Source organism: Homo sapiens, chromosome 8, assembly GCF_000001405.40.
Source record: "Homo sapiens chromosome 8, GRCh38.p14 Primary Assembly".
Taxonomy (NCBI): Eukaryota; Metazoa; Chordata; class Mammalia; order Primates; family Hominidae; genus Homo; species Homo sapiens.
Window position 1 is genome coordinate 75,464,415 of NC_000008.11, and position 17,675 is coordinate 75,482,089.

Below are 17,675 nucleotides of genomic sequence, written 5' to 3' on the forward strand. Positions count from 1 at the left end.
CACTAAATTTGCCTTTATCTTATCCTCAGTTTTTTACCCCCTCAAAGTTTTATATTGTCTCAGATTTTTTCCCCTTGGAAATGTCCTTCATGGAGCTCTCTATATTGTTCCTTCTTCATTCAGAATGTGTGGCCTCTTTAATCTTGCTGTGCAGCTGTCATTCTCCAAATCCCCTCAATTTATTTTTTGGATGAGAGTCTTATTTTATTTGACTCAATATAATTTTGCTTATGTATTATTGTTTTAACTTTTATGGAGTCTATCAGATTGTATATTAATAATGTGAGATATTAGAGATTGGTTTATCTTATACCCATGACTGCTTTCTAATTCCTCTCATTTAGATCATGGGACATGAGGCTGCCCTTATTTCTGAAATAGTGTACAGGAAAACACCAGGGAACAAGTATCCAGAATCATGACTGCTAGGTTAAAAAGGCATCATCCAAGTATGGACAGAGAATTCACTAATGAAGTCCAAATAGGAAGAACAAGAGAATATGTTGGGAGAGGAAAAGGAATGAGGCATGATGTAAAGGGTGGTAAACCTTGTTTTCTAATCCTTGTCTGGATTAGGGTAGAATAGAGGCACAACAGTGTCTGCCTACATTTCCTAAGGCATCCTTCAATAGAGGGAGTAGTCATCTTGTTTATCCTAACTGGAACTCTTGTTTTTGGTTGACTTCCTAAGATGTCAGTAAGGGATGATATGGTATTATGAGAACTTACAGATAGCCTCATATAGGATTCTACAGATCCTACAGCTAACCCATGTAGCCTCATATAGACTCTATGCAAAAATTGTTAAAGTTTAAGATAATATACATAACTAGAATAATATATAATGCTCACAAATTAGATGATTTCATAAATCATGGTTGTCAACTCTTTGCAATTTCATCAATAAAGTTATAGTGTTTCCAGTGAAAAGCCAAGCATGATTTTTAGTGAATATTAATAAGCTCATGCTAAACATCTCTATGCCAATCAAAGGCATAAGAAAGTCAAGAAAATCTTGAAGGCAATATTTTATCTGCTTTTATGCATGTATGGCACATTTTATAGGTTTAAAAAATTAAAATAAACAAATAAATAGAACCAATTATATAACCAGAAAGAAGTTTCAGAGACTAAAGGTATCATAAGCAAAACAGAAAATACATTTGAAGCCTAAAAAGTAAGCAATGGAAATATGTATTATGCCAAAAAGAAAAAGTAGAAAGACAACAAAAGTATGAAATAAAAAACAGGAGAAAAAGAAAACTAATTTAGGAAGTACAACTAGTAGAAATAAGAACAAGAAAGTGAAAGCAAAGAAATGGGAAAGAAGAACTGATCAGAGGGGAAAAAAGAAAAACTAGAAAATATTTTCAAAGTTTACCAGGACATGTTTCAAAATTGAACTTTCTTGACTAACTCAATTCTTTCTTTACTTATTCTGCTTCTAAACCTTCCTAGAATCCTCCTTCTATTGGAAATGAAGGAAGCAGCCTGGGATAATAGACTCTTCACTTTGTTCCTTCCTAGTCACAGGTTATGTGTGTGTGTTTGTGTGCATCTGATGAAATAATATATACAGAGTAAATATGTATGAAAATTAGGAAAAGGCCAGTATTTATTTATTAGCTTCTTTTACCTTTACTATCATTTTTAATATCTGTTCTTTAGTCAGTTTAAGGAAATATCAAGTAGAGGCTCATTATACTCCAAAATGCAAATATGTTTCTGAGACTTTAAACACCACATTGTCTAACTTCATAATGCTAGAATTCTGTTCCTTTATACTCATACCAAAATTTTCTTTTTTCAGGGATTATTTTGTTAATACATTCTGCCTTCTTTCCTCACATCTGTCAACAAGCAATGACTGCCTCTTTATCTTCCAACTTTTTTCTTTTCTCAAATTACCAATGTCTTTTTTACAGTCAAGTTTATTTTTATAGATTTTATTTTATTTATCTAATTTGTTTTATTAGACTGTGCTGCTGAATTTTACCTTCTATGGCATTTTTTTCAGTGAAAATCCACTTTCTTGATTTTGCTTGACTTGCTGACCTTTCTTTTCCTTTCCCTCTGTCCCTTCCTCCCTCTCTCCCTCCCTCCCTCCTTTCCTTCCTTCCTTCTCTCCTCCTCCTTCTTCTCTTCTCTTTTCTCGCTCCTTCCTTCCTTCCTTCCTTCCTTCCTTCCTTCCTTCCTTCCTTCCTTCCTTCCTTCCTTCCTTCTCCCTTCCCTTCCCTTCCCTTCCCTTCCCTTCCCTTCCCTTCCCTTCCCTTCCCTTTCTCTTCTTCTTTCTTTTTCAGACAGGACCTCACTCTGTCACCCAGGCTGAGTGTGATTTCAGCTCACTGCAGCCTTGACTTCCAGGCTCAAGAGATCCTCCTGCCTCAGCCTTCCAAGTAGCTGGGACTACAGGTGCCTGCCACCATGCCTGGCTAATTTTTGTATTTTTTGTAGAGATGGGGTTTTGCCACGTGGCCCATTCTGGTCTTGAACTCCTGGGCTCAAGCAGTCTGCCTAACTCAAGATTCCTAAAGTGCTGGGACTACAGGTGTGAGCCACTGCACCTGGCCTGACCATTCATTCTGTATCTTCTATGTTGTTGTTGTTTTTTAATTTGAGGAGTATACTTTTTCTTTTATTTTTTCGTTAAATAGTTCCTTAGAATATTTTCAGTCTTACATAATCTTCCTATACATTCTCATTTGTTTTCTTGATGTAAGATGATTTCTAGGTTTTTGGTTTTCCCTATGACCAGCTCACATATGTCCCTGAGACAGTTTCTCTACTAAAGCATTTATTTATTTATTCAAGAAATGTGTGAGTGCAAATTATGTGCTAAACATTTTAGCAACACATTCTTTCTTCTGCTGTCCTTAACCTGCACTCCATTTCACTGGAATGGCCACATTCCTATTATCATTCAGTACTCACTAGTTCACATTAGAAATTTTATATTCGCAAACAGGGCTGAGTGCGGTGGCTCATGCCTGTAATCCCAACACTTTGGGAGGCTGAGGCAGGCAGATCACGAGGTCAGGAGATGGAGGCCATTCTGGCCAACATGGTGAAACCCTGTCTCTACTAAAATACAAAAAATCAGCTGAGCGTGGTGGCACACACCTGTAGTCCCAACTACTGGGGAGGCTGAGAGAGGGGAATCACTTGAACCTGGGAGGCGGAGGTTGCAGTGAGTGGAGATCGTGCCAGTGCACTCCAGCCTGGCAACAGAGCAAGACTCTGTCTCAGGAAAAAAAAAAAAAAGGAATTTTATATTAGCAAACAGCACACTGAAGTCACAAATTTTTATCTATCCATATATTTTACTTCCTTCTTCTAGACATCAAGAAAAGTAATTATTTTTTTTTAAAATGTCATTCCCAGATGACTCTAATCAGATCTACCTCTGTGCACTGTTGAAACAGAATCCAGAGTCCTAATCTGGACCATGGAAACTGAGTTGCTAGGACGGACTTACAGAATCTGCATTAGTAGCAAATGTTCTAGGTGATTCACATTCACGTTACATTTTAAGAACCACTGCTGTATGTTGTTTTCTTTTCTTGTTATAAATGATATCGTCATATATATTTATACAAAAATGTACATATGCATATATGCATATGTATGTAATGTTCCATACAAATAATTATATCATTGCAATAGATGCCTGAGCAGGAAATGATAGTTAAAAAGAAAACCATTTTAATATATCTTCCACTATTCCAATCGCTTGCATTCTTTCTCCAATTTAATTCTATAATATAGTTTTTCTAGTTGTATATCTATCCTCTTTTCAGTCCTTTTCATTGGTTTCCTTCCTACCATTCATTTATATGCTGGTATTCCCCAGGGAGAGGTCCTTCTTTGGTCCTTGTCTTTTCTTCTACACTTAAAGTTTTGCAGAGGTCACTTAGGTATTTCTCAAGAACCATGCTTAGTCTGCATCTCCCACTTTGTGTTCATTTAATGAATTAAAAGGTCAACATAAAATATATGTAGGGCTGGGCACGGTGGCTCATGCCTGTAATCCCAGCACTTTGGGAGGCCGAGGCAAGTGGATCATGAGGTCAGGAGTTCGAGACCAGCCTGACCAACATGTTGAAACCCCGTCTCTACTGAAAATATAAAAATTAGCCGAGTGTGGTGGCATGTGCCTGTAATCCCAGCTACTAGGGAGGCTGAGGCAGGAGAATCACTTGAATCTGGGAGGCAGAGGTTGTAGTGAGCCAAGATCATGCCACTGCACTCCAGCCTGGGTGACAGAGCGAGACTCCATCTCAAAAAAAAAAAATTATATGTAGAGTTTTCTAATGCTAAAATTTTTCAATGGTCAATGTTTTTCCCTTTCCCTGTGTAATTTACTCATTAACCGTTCCTTCCTAATATGGTAGCCTTGTTATTGCCTCCCTATCATCTAGAAAGCAAGTTAAGACAAGTAGATTATGATTTTATGGGAAACCAAAGTCTTGAGAAACAAAACAAAACCCACTCTTTATTCTTTACTCTGAGGTTAAGAGAAAAAAAAAAAGCTGCATTAGTTAGCTATTGCTACAAAATGCTGCATGACAAAAGAGTCATAAAACTTTCAGTGGCTTATTGATATTTTATTTTTATACTTAAAAGGCTGTAATAATTTAGCTGATCTAGGCTAGGCTTTTCTGAATGAGTTAAATGGCAGGCTTCTGATTTGGCTTCAGGTCTGAGGTGCAGGTGGAAGGAGCAGCAGAGATATTGGAAAATCTTTTTTTTTGGTGGCAGATCCCAGGTGCACAAGAGAACAAGCCCAACCATGCAAGCAATTACATTATGTTCATTCGCATTTCCTTAGTCAAAGCGGTTTCAGGGCAAGCCCAACCTTAGTGGGATGGGGAAATATACCCCACCCACAGTGGGAGGCTTTGTAAAATTACATAGCACAGGGTGTGGAGGTATAATCCTAGTACTAGGCACTGAGTAATTGCGACAATAATCCAATCTACATCAGAGGGACAGTATATGAATCTGAGGATTCTTGGTATACATAATTTTTTGTTTGTTTTGCCATTATCAGAAACTTTCTCAGATGATTTTTTTAGAGGGTTTCACTTACTTAATTAAAAAGGTTACTACTCATTTACTTGTGTTTTATCATTAGTTCTTTTACTGTAGAAGTGGCAGAAGACAGAGAAGAAAGGGCCTCAGTCTCTTGCCTGAGTCTGAGACCTGTGTTTCAAATTGTCCGATAAGTAATCTACAGACAGTTTTTCCTCAACAGGCACCCATAATTTTATTAATTCTTTGTTTATCTTAAGCCTGTGGCTCCTTAATTTCTCATCATCAAATCTCCCCAGGTTATCTTCAAGTTTTTCTTCTTTCTCATCCTTATACCCAATCTGTGAACAAATCCTGTCAGTTTCGATGGAGTATTCCTTTCAAGTCCCCTCAGTCAATTTTTATTTCATTAAGTGTTTTCATTTTTAACCAGGAGTTTTACTTCAAAAACCTCTGGATCCAGAGGCATCTTATAAAAAAAGAAACCTGAGAGTGTCCCCTGTTTAAAGGGCTCACTCAACTGCTGGAGCCCGGGCTATCTTCTCTTTCCCATTCACCACTCAAACTACATGGAATACTGACGTCAAAACTCTCACTTTTTAGATGATTCTCTTACTATCTGAATATCACCTACATTGCCTTCTCCACTCAGCAAAGCCTGATTCATCTTCCAGAGCAAAGTAGGGTGTAATCTTTGCTCTTAAGCCTTTCAGGATTCTCTTACGAAGTCAGTGGCCTTCTCCTGGCATTCTCACTGCATTCTGCACAACTACCCATTCAAGAATTGTTTCATGGATTCTTTACATTTGATTATAAAAGCATTAAAAGATCCTCATAAAAATCAGAGGACATATAAAGTGTAAAGAAGAAAATATAATCACTGTTCTTGGCTTAAGAGAATACAGTTAACATTTTGGTACTATATTTTTATGGCAGGATTACCTCATTTAACAATATAGCATAGCATTTTTCCAATTGTAGTCTATTATAAAAATTAATTTTGCTGTTTCTCTCCCCCCACAGATTGTTCATTCCTTTAAGGATCATCATTTTTCATTTTACACCTTATTTCCAGTGCTTGGTACAATCCTTGGCAAATAGGACACATTTAATTAACAGTTGTGTGAATGTTAAATGAAATGGGAATATTTTATTAAGTCCGAAATAATTCAGTGAACAAAGAAGCATAACTATAAGCCAGTGACAGACTACAAAATAGGTAGTATTTTACTAAAGTCTGGATATCTTGTTATGTTAAATATTATTTTTGAAAGCCTGACATTGTGTCAAGGCAATAGTTATGCTATAATTCTGTGTTAATCCTGTTTTCTATTTTTTTGTCCTCAGGAAATTATTTGCTATAAGAAATAGAGTCACATGAGACTTTAAATATTAGTCAAATAATGCTGTAGTTTTAGCACTGGTAAGAGATACAAGGGGTTAAGTCACTCTAGTCTTTCTTCTTCTTCTTTTAAAGACATGTAACTTCTTTGTCTGATCTCCTTATGGTCCTTGTCACAACTGTATGGCTTTTAATCACTCATACATTCAGTGAGTTACTGCACTGCTGGAACCTTAATAACGTTCTAGTTTGTTTGGATGATCTTCCTGATAAAGTCCTGACAATCTCTCAGTATAATGGAAAGACAATCAAAATAAAAAATGCTTTAAGAGTTCAGGTAGTGGAGCATACTATTATTTTTCACACAGTGCAAGGATATTAAAATACTGACTTTCATTCATTTGATTGAGTTGGTGATGAAATCCAAGAAAAATTGAAAATTTGAATTATTCTACTGCCAGTAGGGACTGTATATCATGAACAGAAAAGCAGGCATATGTAACTGACTCTTGTAGCATAATCTGAAAAGTGTCAGCTTGCCCTCCTTTTATATGAATTTCTGCAGTATATCTAAGCAATTAATTCATTATATAGCTCTCATATTTGCAATCACCACCTGGAATTTTATAAAAATATAAAATGTCATCTTCAATATACATAGTTTGAATAGTTAAAATGACGTCTTACATTGATAGAGTGTTTCAGTTTTTTCAAGATGCTTTCTGTTAAAGTATCTCATTTGACTCAACAGTCCTCTGAAAGTAAGTAGTGGAACTCTGATAATTCTCCAGCCTGTTCCATACCCTTTGCCTCCTTCCTTCTTATTAATTTCCAATTTATCTTTCTTTCTTTTAAAGGAGGCAGTTTGGTGTGATGGAAAGAGCATAGAATATGAATTCAGATATTTAGCTCTATCCTTGTCTTGAATTACTTTGACATTGGAGGGATCATTTTCAGTTCTCTGAACCTTGGTTTTCTAATTGGCAAAATAATAATGATGCTAAAGTGTACTCCCAATGTTGTGAGGATTAATTAAGGTGAAATTGGGGAAACCTTAAAAGAGCAAATGTAACATTCATGTTAGCTTCTTTTAAGGGCAGCTTGGGATGATGGAAAGAGAACAGATCTTTGCTTCATGGCTTCTTACTTATGGTACTTGAGCAAGTAATCTACCCTTTCTGAGCTTCATTTTTCTAAGTGTGAAATGGGTATAACAATACCTGTCTTGTGAAGCTGCTGAAAGATAAGGTGACATATATGCTGATTCTAGCATAGTTCCTAACTCAGAGTCATATATCCTATTGAAAGTGTTTCCCTTTCTTTCATCCTTCCTCCCTACCTCTTACCACTCCTCTTTCCCACCTCCTGTCTTTCCACTTTACTCTTCATCCTCCTATCTCAACTTTGTGTGACAGAAAAAGATAAAGAACGTGATTGGAGAATCTCAAGATTTAATAATTTAGAAAGTATTTAGCTTAGAAATTCTTTTTTCTAAAGAAAATTGTAATTTTCAGTTGAGGCAGGAGATGGGGATTCAAGTTCTCCCTCCTTTTGAGAAAAGACCCCTTCCTGGCCCACTTTGAAATCTCCATTGAATCCTGTAAACTTTGTGCAGTAGAATTTGGAAAACCACTGGTGTAGCCGAACCCTCTCAACTTGCAGATGGAAAAACTGAATTTGAGGGAAGTTGAGATACTTGCCTAAGCTCGTGAGGCTGGGAAGTGGTGAGCTAAGACTAGAACTCAGTCGTTCTTTGCCTTACCCTATTCCCTTAGTAAGTAAAGATACAGAGTGCAAATATGTATAATCAGATTCATCTCTTGAAAGATGTTACAGTCTATTTGTGTAGATGGAACTCACATTAAAAGATGAGGAAAGTAAAGTAGTATGATATAACAATGAAATGGGTGAAATAGGTAAATCCATTAAGAAGAGACGGGCATGGATGATCACTGTTTTGGGGGGCTGGACACTGCAAACTTTATGAGGGCAGGAATTTCTTTGCTGTGCTCATTATTATTTTATTCCCAGTGCGTAGAGAAGTGCCTGGTTTCCTATAGGGAATTAATACTTTTTAAAAATTAAATAAATGAATGGCTAAATGAGATGTAAATGAACCAGTCCTAGAAAAAGGGCAAGGGTTTAGAAAAGTTAGATCAGAGTGTTTAAACAATGGGCTGGTCTTCATTGTTGGGCAATGAAATATGTTGAGTGAGTCACGATTTACATATAAAAGTGTCAGCCGGGAGCAGTGGCTCAAGCCTGTAATCCCAGCACTTTGGGAGGCCGAGGCGGGTGGATCACAAGGTCAGGAGATTGAGACCATCCTGGCTAACATGGTGAAACTCCGTCTCTACTAAAAATACAAAAAATTAGCCAGGCGTGGTTGTGGGTGCCTGTAGTCCCAGCTACTCGGGAGGCTGAGGCAGGAGAATGGCATGAACCCAGGAGGTGAGCCGAGATCGCCCCACTGCACTCCAGCCTGGGCGACAGAGCAAGACTCCGTCTCAAAAAAAAAAAAAGTGTCATTATGTCATGGAAATTGTTTAGATTTATATGTGATACATACATAAAATATATTTGGACCAATATGCTTGTATGTACACTTGGTCACAAGTTAAAATGTGTGTCTCACTGTAAGTCATGATTAAAAATGTTTGAAAAATATGGTTTTAGACAAAGGAAATACTAAAGTTTGAGGCAGGCATGTGAATGTTTTGTGGGAAAATAGTGAGTTTAACAGTTTTGCTAAATCTGAGGTGAAGAGAATAGTGAAATCAAGTCTATCCAGGGGAAGAAGAATCCATTTGGCTCTTTAGCTATTAAAGAATTACAGGGACTCCACTTCACCTCCTGACTGTCTCCATCATCCACAATAAGATTTAACAAAGCTACATGTTAGGAAGATTAGACAGCTTAAACTTTCAGGAGTGATTCACTCGGATTGGAACTGGGGGGAGTAGACAGAGAACGATGCAAAAGAGGCAGCACAGGGTAGGAAAGTTATGGCTTTAACTGGTGACACCTGGTAAAGAAAACCAGTTTCTTGGGCACGGTTTGGGTAGATGAGGTTAAAAAAAAAAAGTGAATGTGTGATGACAAAATGGAGACCAAATTGTGAACAATTTCACAGAAGGGCTGTCTGAGAAAAAAACAAACGGAAACAAAAAACAAAACAAAGAAAGCATTAAGAGAACAAAAAGTAGGAGTTAGGAGAAGGTTAGGATGGAGGTGAAAATCTTTGTGGTCAACTAGGGATAGTCAATAGAGATCTCTAGACATTGATGAGAAATTAAAGAAGGCCAGAAGGTCTTTAAAAAGATTACTTTGAAAGAAAGAGATTCCTTCTCCCCTGAAATCTAGCTATTAAGACCAGAGGGGATGGGAGGGATACTGGATATAGATAACAAAACTTAAACAGTTAATAAATGCTTCTTTCTTTAATTTGAACACTGACTAGAACAGCAGTTTTAATCAACAATGTGGCATTAGCCTACTACTTTTGTGTTAGTAACAAGAGACACTTTTAAGTGTGTAAAAACATTTACTTTGCTAGGTAAGAAGCATACTCTTTATATGCCCTAAATTTGTTTAATATACTACCATTACTTGAGAAATTGTATAACTTTGACCACTCTCCATATTATGGCTAAATTAGGAAGTTAGAAGGAAGATTGAGTATTGTATGAAGGTTTTAGATTTCATGTCCTTAAAACTACTTAAAATAAGTTCAATATTGATGAAAAAAGTTGAGAAAGTTAGAAATCTAATTACAAATGTCTGAAATATGTCCACATAAGTTGAGCTTTTCCTTTTGGTTGGAGTTTGTCTGAATTCAGAGGAAATTCAGAGGTCAAGAATGATGAATAATAATAATTATTATTTTTTTTGGAGATGGAATTATTATTTTTTAATACAAATAATAAATATTATTTTTTGTCGCTCTGTTGCCCAGGCTGGAGTGCAGTGGCGCGATCTTGGCTCACTGCAACCTCCGCCTCCCAGATTCACGCCATTCTCCTGCCTTAGCCTCCGGAGTAGCTGGTATTACAGGTGCCTGCCACCACGCCCAACTAATTTTTGTATTTTTAGTAGATACGAGGTGTCACCGTGTTGGCCAGGATGGTCTTGATCTCTTGACCTCATGATCTGCCTGCCTGGACCTCCCAAAGTGCTGGGATTACAGGTGTGAGCCACTGTGCCTGGCCTATTATTTATTAATTAATTAATTTATTTTTTGAGACGGAGTCTTGCTCTGTCTTCCAGGCTGGAGTGCAGTGGTGTGATCTCGGCTCAGTGCCAACCTCTGCCTCCCGGGTTCAAGCGATTCTCCTGCCTCAGCCTCCCGAGTAGCTGAGACTACTGGTACATGCCAACACGCCCAGCTAATTTTTGTATTTTTAGTAGACACAAGCTTTCACCATGTTGGCCAGGATGGTCTCAATCTCTTGACCTCGTGATCTGCCCGCCTGGGCCTCCCAAAGTGTTGGGATCACAGGCGTGAGCCACTGTGCCTGGCCAAATAATTATTTTTTAAAAAAACCATGGCTTAAGTTATTTATTTTTAAAAGGAAGCCAAATAGTACCCCTCTGTTGTTTATTAAAGGAAATATATGACATTATAGATGTCCTGTGAGCACATGTGTATATGAGTCTATATAATTAAGAGAAAGATAGAACATGAGCCTATGCATGTTTATGTGTGTGCGTGTATTTATATTTATGTATGTGTGTGTTTGTGTGTGTGTAATGAAACTGTCTCTAGGCAAGGCCAGGTACAAAGGTCCATCATTTAAGTCTCAGAGCTAAATAAACATGTGAGGTTATAATTATTTTATTGAGCTTTTTTATTTTATGACCCACTAATGGCTTATGGATCAGTTATATTGATAAGCACTGAAAACATACAGCTTCAGAGTTTTTTTATTTTTTCATTTATTGTTTTTATTTTAAAGTGCCAAGAAGAAAATGCCCAGTTCCCAGCCTTATTTTTCATTTATAATAAACCATAGAAGTACAATTTATATTATAGGGTAGAAACTAAAGTGTATGTAGGGTGTATATAACTGGCAATTTGTATGCGACAATAACGTACTTTCAATTTCTGATGAAAATTGTTGAACTTCATTTTTGAATTTAAAATTAAATTTATTTTTAAAATTTTTTTTATTATGAATTTGGGGCGTACACATGCAGGTTTGTTACATGGACATACTGTGTAATGGTGAGATTTGGGCTTCTAGTGTACCCATCATTCAAATAGTGCATATTGCACCCAAAAGACCATTTTTCAACACTCACCTCCCTCCTGTTCTCCAATTTTTTTGGAGTCTCCTGTGTCTATTGTTTCCATCTTTACATCCATGTCCATTGTTTATCTCCCACTTAAAAGTTAGAACATGTGGTATTTGATTTTCTGTTTCTAAGTTATTTCACTTGGCATTCCAGTTCCATACATACAGCTGCAAAATACATGATTTTATTCTTTCTTTATTGCTGTGTAGTATTCCATGGCATATATATACCACATTTTCTTTACCCAATCATTCATTGATGAATACTTGGGTTGATTCCATGACTTTGCTATTGTGAACAGTGCTGCAATAAACATAAGAGTGCACCACCAATAGGGTATAAGCATTCCCTTTTCTCCACACCCTTGACAAAATTGTTGAAATTCTGCATTTGAGTGTATGTCTTGAAATCAACTATTCAATATCAGGTTAATGTTTCTTTTTGCACTTTTTATTATGGCAAAATTAACCCCGTTATGTCATTTAGCATTTGTGAGAAGATAACGTAATACAAACATAGTTTTTAAAATTTGTTGTTGTTTTGTTTTTACATGTACTGTAGATTATGTATGCCATATTTTATCAAGAGTTGAGATGCTAGAAATTCCTGTCTGTGTAATTTCCTGTGGGAACTACCTGTAGCTTTCTGCCCAAAGAAAGAGGGGCGGGGCAGGGCTATGCAGGCCAGTTTAATCTTTCCAAATTTGCCAGCCAGATAAATTCCTTTACCTGCTCTGGGGCAGGTGAATGAATGCATGCAGTGAGGTCAGGAGTCAGCTCCAGCTGTATAGAAGGAAACATCAGGAGTGAGGAGTGTCTCCTCCCCTCCCAGTGTTAACATTTCTAATATTCATGGATAGATTCAATTGAAAACTAAGTATAAACATTTTGTTTAATGTAGTGCTTGATTATCTGTCTTATCTATTTTCAAGTAAAACTAAAAACTGAGTATTTAGCTTTAAAATTATTTAGCTTCTCTCAAACTCTCAGTTTTATCAACATCTTGTCAATTTTAATTGATAACACCTTCAGCAGAGTTTGTAGGAATGAAATAGAAGCATTTCCCAGTTTTGCTTCAAGAGTCTGAAATATTTTGGTTTTTTAAGATTATATTGCCATTACAAAGAAAACCATTTGACTTGATATATGTATATGTTCCCCATGGTCAGAGCCTACCATTAAATTTTCTAAAGATTCTTAGGTTAATTTTTTTAACTGTGTACTTTCAGTGCTAAAATATTTATTAGAATCACACTATGGGGAATGAGAAATGTTAGACTTTATCAATATCGTTGTCTATTGGATCCTCTACATTTACAGTCAAATTCTTCAAGTCTCATCATATGTACAGAAATTGAAGAACAGTTAATTTCTAGGTGACTAAATTTGGAAACACATGTAAAGAGAGCAGAAGGGCAATGGAAATTTACGCAAGAGAGAACTACCTATTTTCTGAATTTGTTAATATTTAAAATAGGACCCCTACCCAAACTAAATGAAACTAAAAATTCAGTTCTTGTTTTTCTGCTAGACCTTGCATTTCTTTGTATTACTATTTGCACCATTAAAAATATATATATAAATATATATTTTAAAAAGTTCTCTGCCGGGCGTGGTGGCTCACACCTGTAAACCCAGCACTTTGGGAGGCCGAAGTGGGCAGATCACCTGAGGTTGGGAGTTTAAGACCAGTCTGACCGATATGGAGAAACCCCGTCTCTACTAAAAATACAAAATTAGTCGGATGTGGTGGCACATGCCTGTAATCCCAGCTACTTGGAAGGCTGAGGCAGGAGAATCGCTTGAACCCAGGAGGGGGAGGCTGCAGTGAGCCGAGATCGTGCTATTGCACTCCAGCTTGGGCAACAAGAGCGAAACTCCGTTCAAAAAAAGAAAAAAGAAAAAAAATTATGATGCATTAGCTTACATAAATATACATTGAAATTTAGGCCGGGTGTGGTGGCTCACGCCTGTAATCCCACCACGTTGGGAGGCCGAGGCAGGCGGATCGCCTGAGCTCAGGAGATCGAGACAAGCCTGGGCAACATGGCGGAACCCCGTATCTACAAAAAATTGAAAAAATTAACCAGGGCGTGGTGGCGGGTGCCTGTGATCCCAGCTCCTTGGTAGGTTGAGGTGGGAGGATCGCTTGAGCCCAGGAGGCCCAGGCTGCAGTGAGTTGAGATCCCACCACTGCACTCCAGCCTGAGTGACAAATGGAATTTAAATAGTATTAGGGACAAAAGGATTAATGAACACGGTTTAAAGGAATTCTGCATATTAGAATTCTGGAATACTTCCGCAGGCATTCTAAAGTCCTAAAACCTGTTGTTTTACGGATTCTAAAATTCAGTTTTTTGTACAGCGGATTTTCAAACAATTTTTTTTCTTTTACTGAGGACGTTGAAATTCATAGCACAGGATCTTGAGTCCACCCTGAAAACTAAAGAAAGTGGCTTGTTAGACTCTTCAGTCCCAAAATATAATGTGAAATGAGAATGCATGTTGATATCAGATAAATTTAGGCTTTGAATCTTGGCTTTGTCAAGCGGTATGTATTCTTGCTCAAGCTAGTGTACCTTTTTGAGACTTAGTTTGCTCATGTATAAAGCTGGAGATAGCTACGCATCTTTTCTTTTTCTTTTTTCTTTTTTGAGATGGAGTTTAGCTCTTGTTGCCCAGACTGGAGTGCAATCGCGCGATCTGATCTTTGCTCACCACGACTTCCGCCTCCCGAGTTCAAGCGATTCTCCTGCCTCAGCCTCCCAAGCAGCTGGGATTGCAGGCACGTGCCACCACGCCTGGCTAATTTGTATTTTTAGTAGAGACGGGGTTTCTCCATGTTGGTCAGGCTGGTCTCGAACTCCCGACCTCAGGTGATCTGCCCGCCTCGGCCTCCCGAAGTGATAGAATTACATGCATGGCCACCCCGCTCGGCCGGCAACGCATAATTTTAAAGGGATATGAAAGGGCTTGAAAAATATCTAGCACAGAATTGGCCCTTGTTATTTGTTAAGCACAGTATTATTTCCAAGGGAACTCTCCCAAATCATCCCTGACCAAACTACTACCCTTATTAAGAGATAGATTGGCCTCTTAGATTATATATCCCTTAGCTTTGCTCATCAATAGAGGCAAAGGATTCATTTATCTAAAGGAATAAAAAACAATTGCCCTTGAAGTTAGTGGATTCGTGCACCTAAAAAATGGCCTGCATATGGTACCAATCAAATCTTTTATTTCTTGCATATTTTGCAGATAATACGATTTTCAAATACAGGTTGTATGGAATCAAGTGAATCATCTTTAGGAGAAGACTGATTTTTAGTAACCTAAAATTTTTAGTAATCAAATCTGGCAGAGCCCAGATTTGAACTGAGGAGACTGTCTTTAGAGCCATACACTTATTCAGGACAGTAAATATTCAGAGATAAAACCAGTGTAGAAATTAATATCAGGGCTATATCATTAACAAGATTCTATCACTTCATTTGCATTTTTTTTTTTTTTTGGTGTATGTGTCTCTTATATAAAGAAATAGCGATGCTGTGAATGCCTACATATTTGTTGAACAAACATTTTTTAAAATTAGAAACTGGATAACAAGAGAGAATAAGAAAAATGTTCTGCATTTGTTAAACTACCATGGAGGTGAAGGAAGATTTTACAAGCTGAAAAATATGAAAAAAAAAGAACATTTCTTTATCTTCTGTAGTATTGATAAATAACATATTTCCAGAAGATTATCCATCACATCAATGTTTTCAAGTTTATTTGTATCAATTTGAGGAAAGTAGTCTATCATGACACTTTTAATTGATTAGGATATACCATATTACCAAAAATAGCAAAAACATATCACAAAGGTTTATGATTTATATAACAGGAAAAACAACCTTAACTTTTTTTTTTTGATGTTATAGAAAAAAGTGTTATTTTTTGGAAAAATTCTCCCATACAATCTGAGAACAATATAATTCTTATTAAATGTATGCTTAATTGCCTATTAGATAATTTGCTTATCTATGTGCTATACCTGGTAACTTTTGGTTTATTAATGTAAATTTTAAAAAGTTCCTCAAGAATTAATAATAACACAAAAGTTTAATAAGATTAACTGGAAAGTACATAATATCTAAGGTAAAATTAAATCAAACTTTGGGAAAAATCATTTCCCCTTCTTTGAGCAGCGCACATTTTAATTGTATACGTGCATAGCCATGGCAGAGCAGCACATATTGAGTGCCCAAAGTGTCAAAGCTGGCAGCCCAGGCTGAATCCTGTAGCATGGCTGCACTCTGATAAGCTACTACAGGTCTTCTCTCTGATACTTAGTTTGAACTTTAAAAATAATTTTTATCAGTGAAACCAAGAGTGAATGATAAAGATAATAGCTAAAGTAAAACAAAATTCAGGCGGAGGTGAAGTAAGTCCAACTTTATTAATTTTTTGTATTGAAGTATGGTACTGAAATAATATTTTACCATATTTTCCATGAACCTTGCCAGAAAATATATCTGGGATAATTAAGTGTTATACATATTACTACAAAGGAAGTAAGGACTCTTCATTTTCAATCCTAATGACCTTGAACAAGTAACTTCGTTTCTCTGGATCTCATTTCTTTTTCTTTTTCTTTCTTTTTTTTTTTTTTTGAGACAGAATCTCACCCAGGCTGGAATGCAGTGGCGTGATCTCGGCTCACTGCAACCTCTGCCTCCTGGGTTCAAGTGATTCTCTTGCCTCAGCCTCCCGAGTAACCGGGACTACATGCGTCAGCCACCACACTCGGCTAATTTTTGTATTTTTTATTTTAGCGGAGACGGAGTTTCGCCATGTTGGGCAGGCTGGACTCGAACTCCTGGCCTCAGGTGATCCACCTGCCTCGGTATCCCAAGGTGCTAGGATTACAGGCGTGAGCCACTGGTCCCGGCCGGATCTCATTTTCTCACCAGAGGATGGAATTAGATCACTGGTTTTCAAACGGTGCTCTGCAGAGTCCTACAGATTAGAAATGCTTTTTAGTCTCCCACACAATTCTGACTTTGTATTTTATCCATTAGCTTCATGCTTGGAATTTATTTAGATAATTCCATAAAGTAAAGGTTTGAAAAGCCCCTGGACTATATTACATCTGAAATTTCTTTACTTTTAACACTTTATGAGCCATTTATGTTTTTCCTAATTCCTATACTTGAGTCAGACACAGGAGTTACCATACAAATTTTGTGCTTTTCCACTTCTGGAACTGCCTTATACTCCAGACTTTTCATGGAATATCCATCTGCTCTTCTTACTAGTAGAAATTCCATTTATTTTTCAAGGTTCAACTCTGGCTATCCCTGAGATGAATTGAATTATCAGCCAGGAAAAAACTTTCGTTCCCTGGAATTTTGAAAACAGTAAGTTAGTATTATTTTTGAGCACTTACCTGTTCTTTGTTCTGTTAGGGTTGCTATGTACTTGATGAGTTTCTGTCATTCCTACAGGAGCTGGGCAAATCTGATAAGCACGAGTAGGGCGATGAATAGAAGATAACGGTGGGACCCCAAGGCACTTTCTAGGATGTACACATTTCATCAAGAGGGGGTGTCACAGCCTTAGTGAGATTTCTGTACTGTCCACAGGGAAATTTAAGATCAACATGGCCAAATTCTATTTCAATAAAAATTATGCATCTAAATTTTCAATGAAATTTTTGACATCTGAAAACTCATTTATAAAAATAAAAATGCAAAATGCCCAAACAAAAAAAAATGTGTAATGGCCACTTGTATACACTTGTATACACCTCTGGACTCTGGACTGCATACCCTGTGCCTGTCTTCATCCTCTAACATAACATAATCTACTTGCACCTTTGTTCAGGGAAATTTTGTGAATTTTGTTGGAAATGTTCGATAGCCTTTGTGTATAAGCTTGAATAAAATCATGATATTGAAGTTTTTAAAAATCTAGTGCAAACAACTGTCAAGCGCAATATCACAATATCCTCGAGAAAATCAAGT

The 17,675-nt window shown here is 37.0% G+C and overlaps 1 protein-coding gene across 8 annotated transcripts in view; it reads left to right on the plus strand.

Annotated features, from left to right (window-relative positions):
* The window catches only part of HNF4G (hepatocyte nuclear factor 4 gamma), a 159,186-nt gene that overhangs the window by 56,766 nt on the left and 84,745 nt on the right, over positions 1–17,675 (plus strand). For 4 of the 8 annotated variants that reach the window (XM_017013373.2, XM_047421737.1, XM_017013376.3 and 1 more), the window contains exon 2: positions 16,992–17,069. The exons of the other annotated variants lie outside the window; for them this stretch is intronic. The gene's annotated coding sequence lies outside the window, so the exon portion shown is untranslated. The remainder of the gene's footprint in view (positions 1–16,991; positions 17,070–17,675) is intronic. 8 annotated transcript variants of the gene reach the window in all.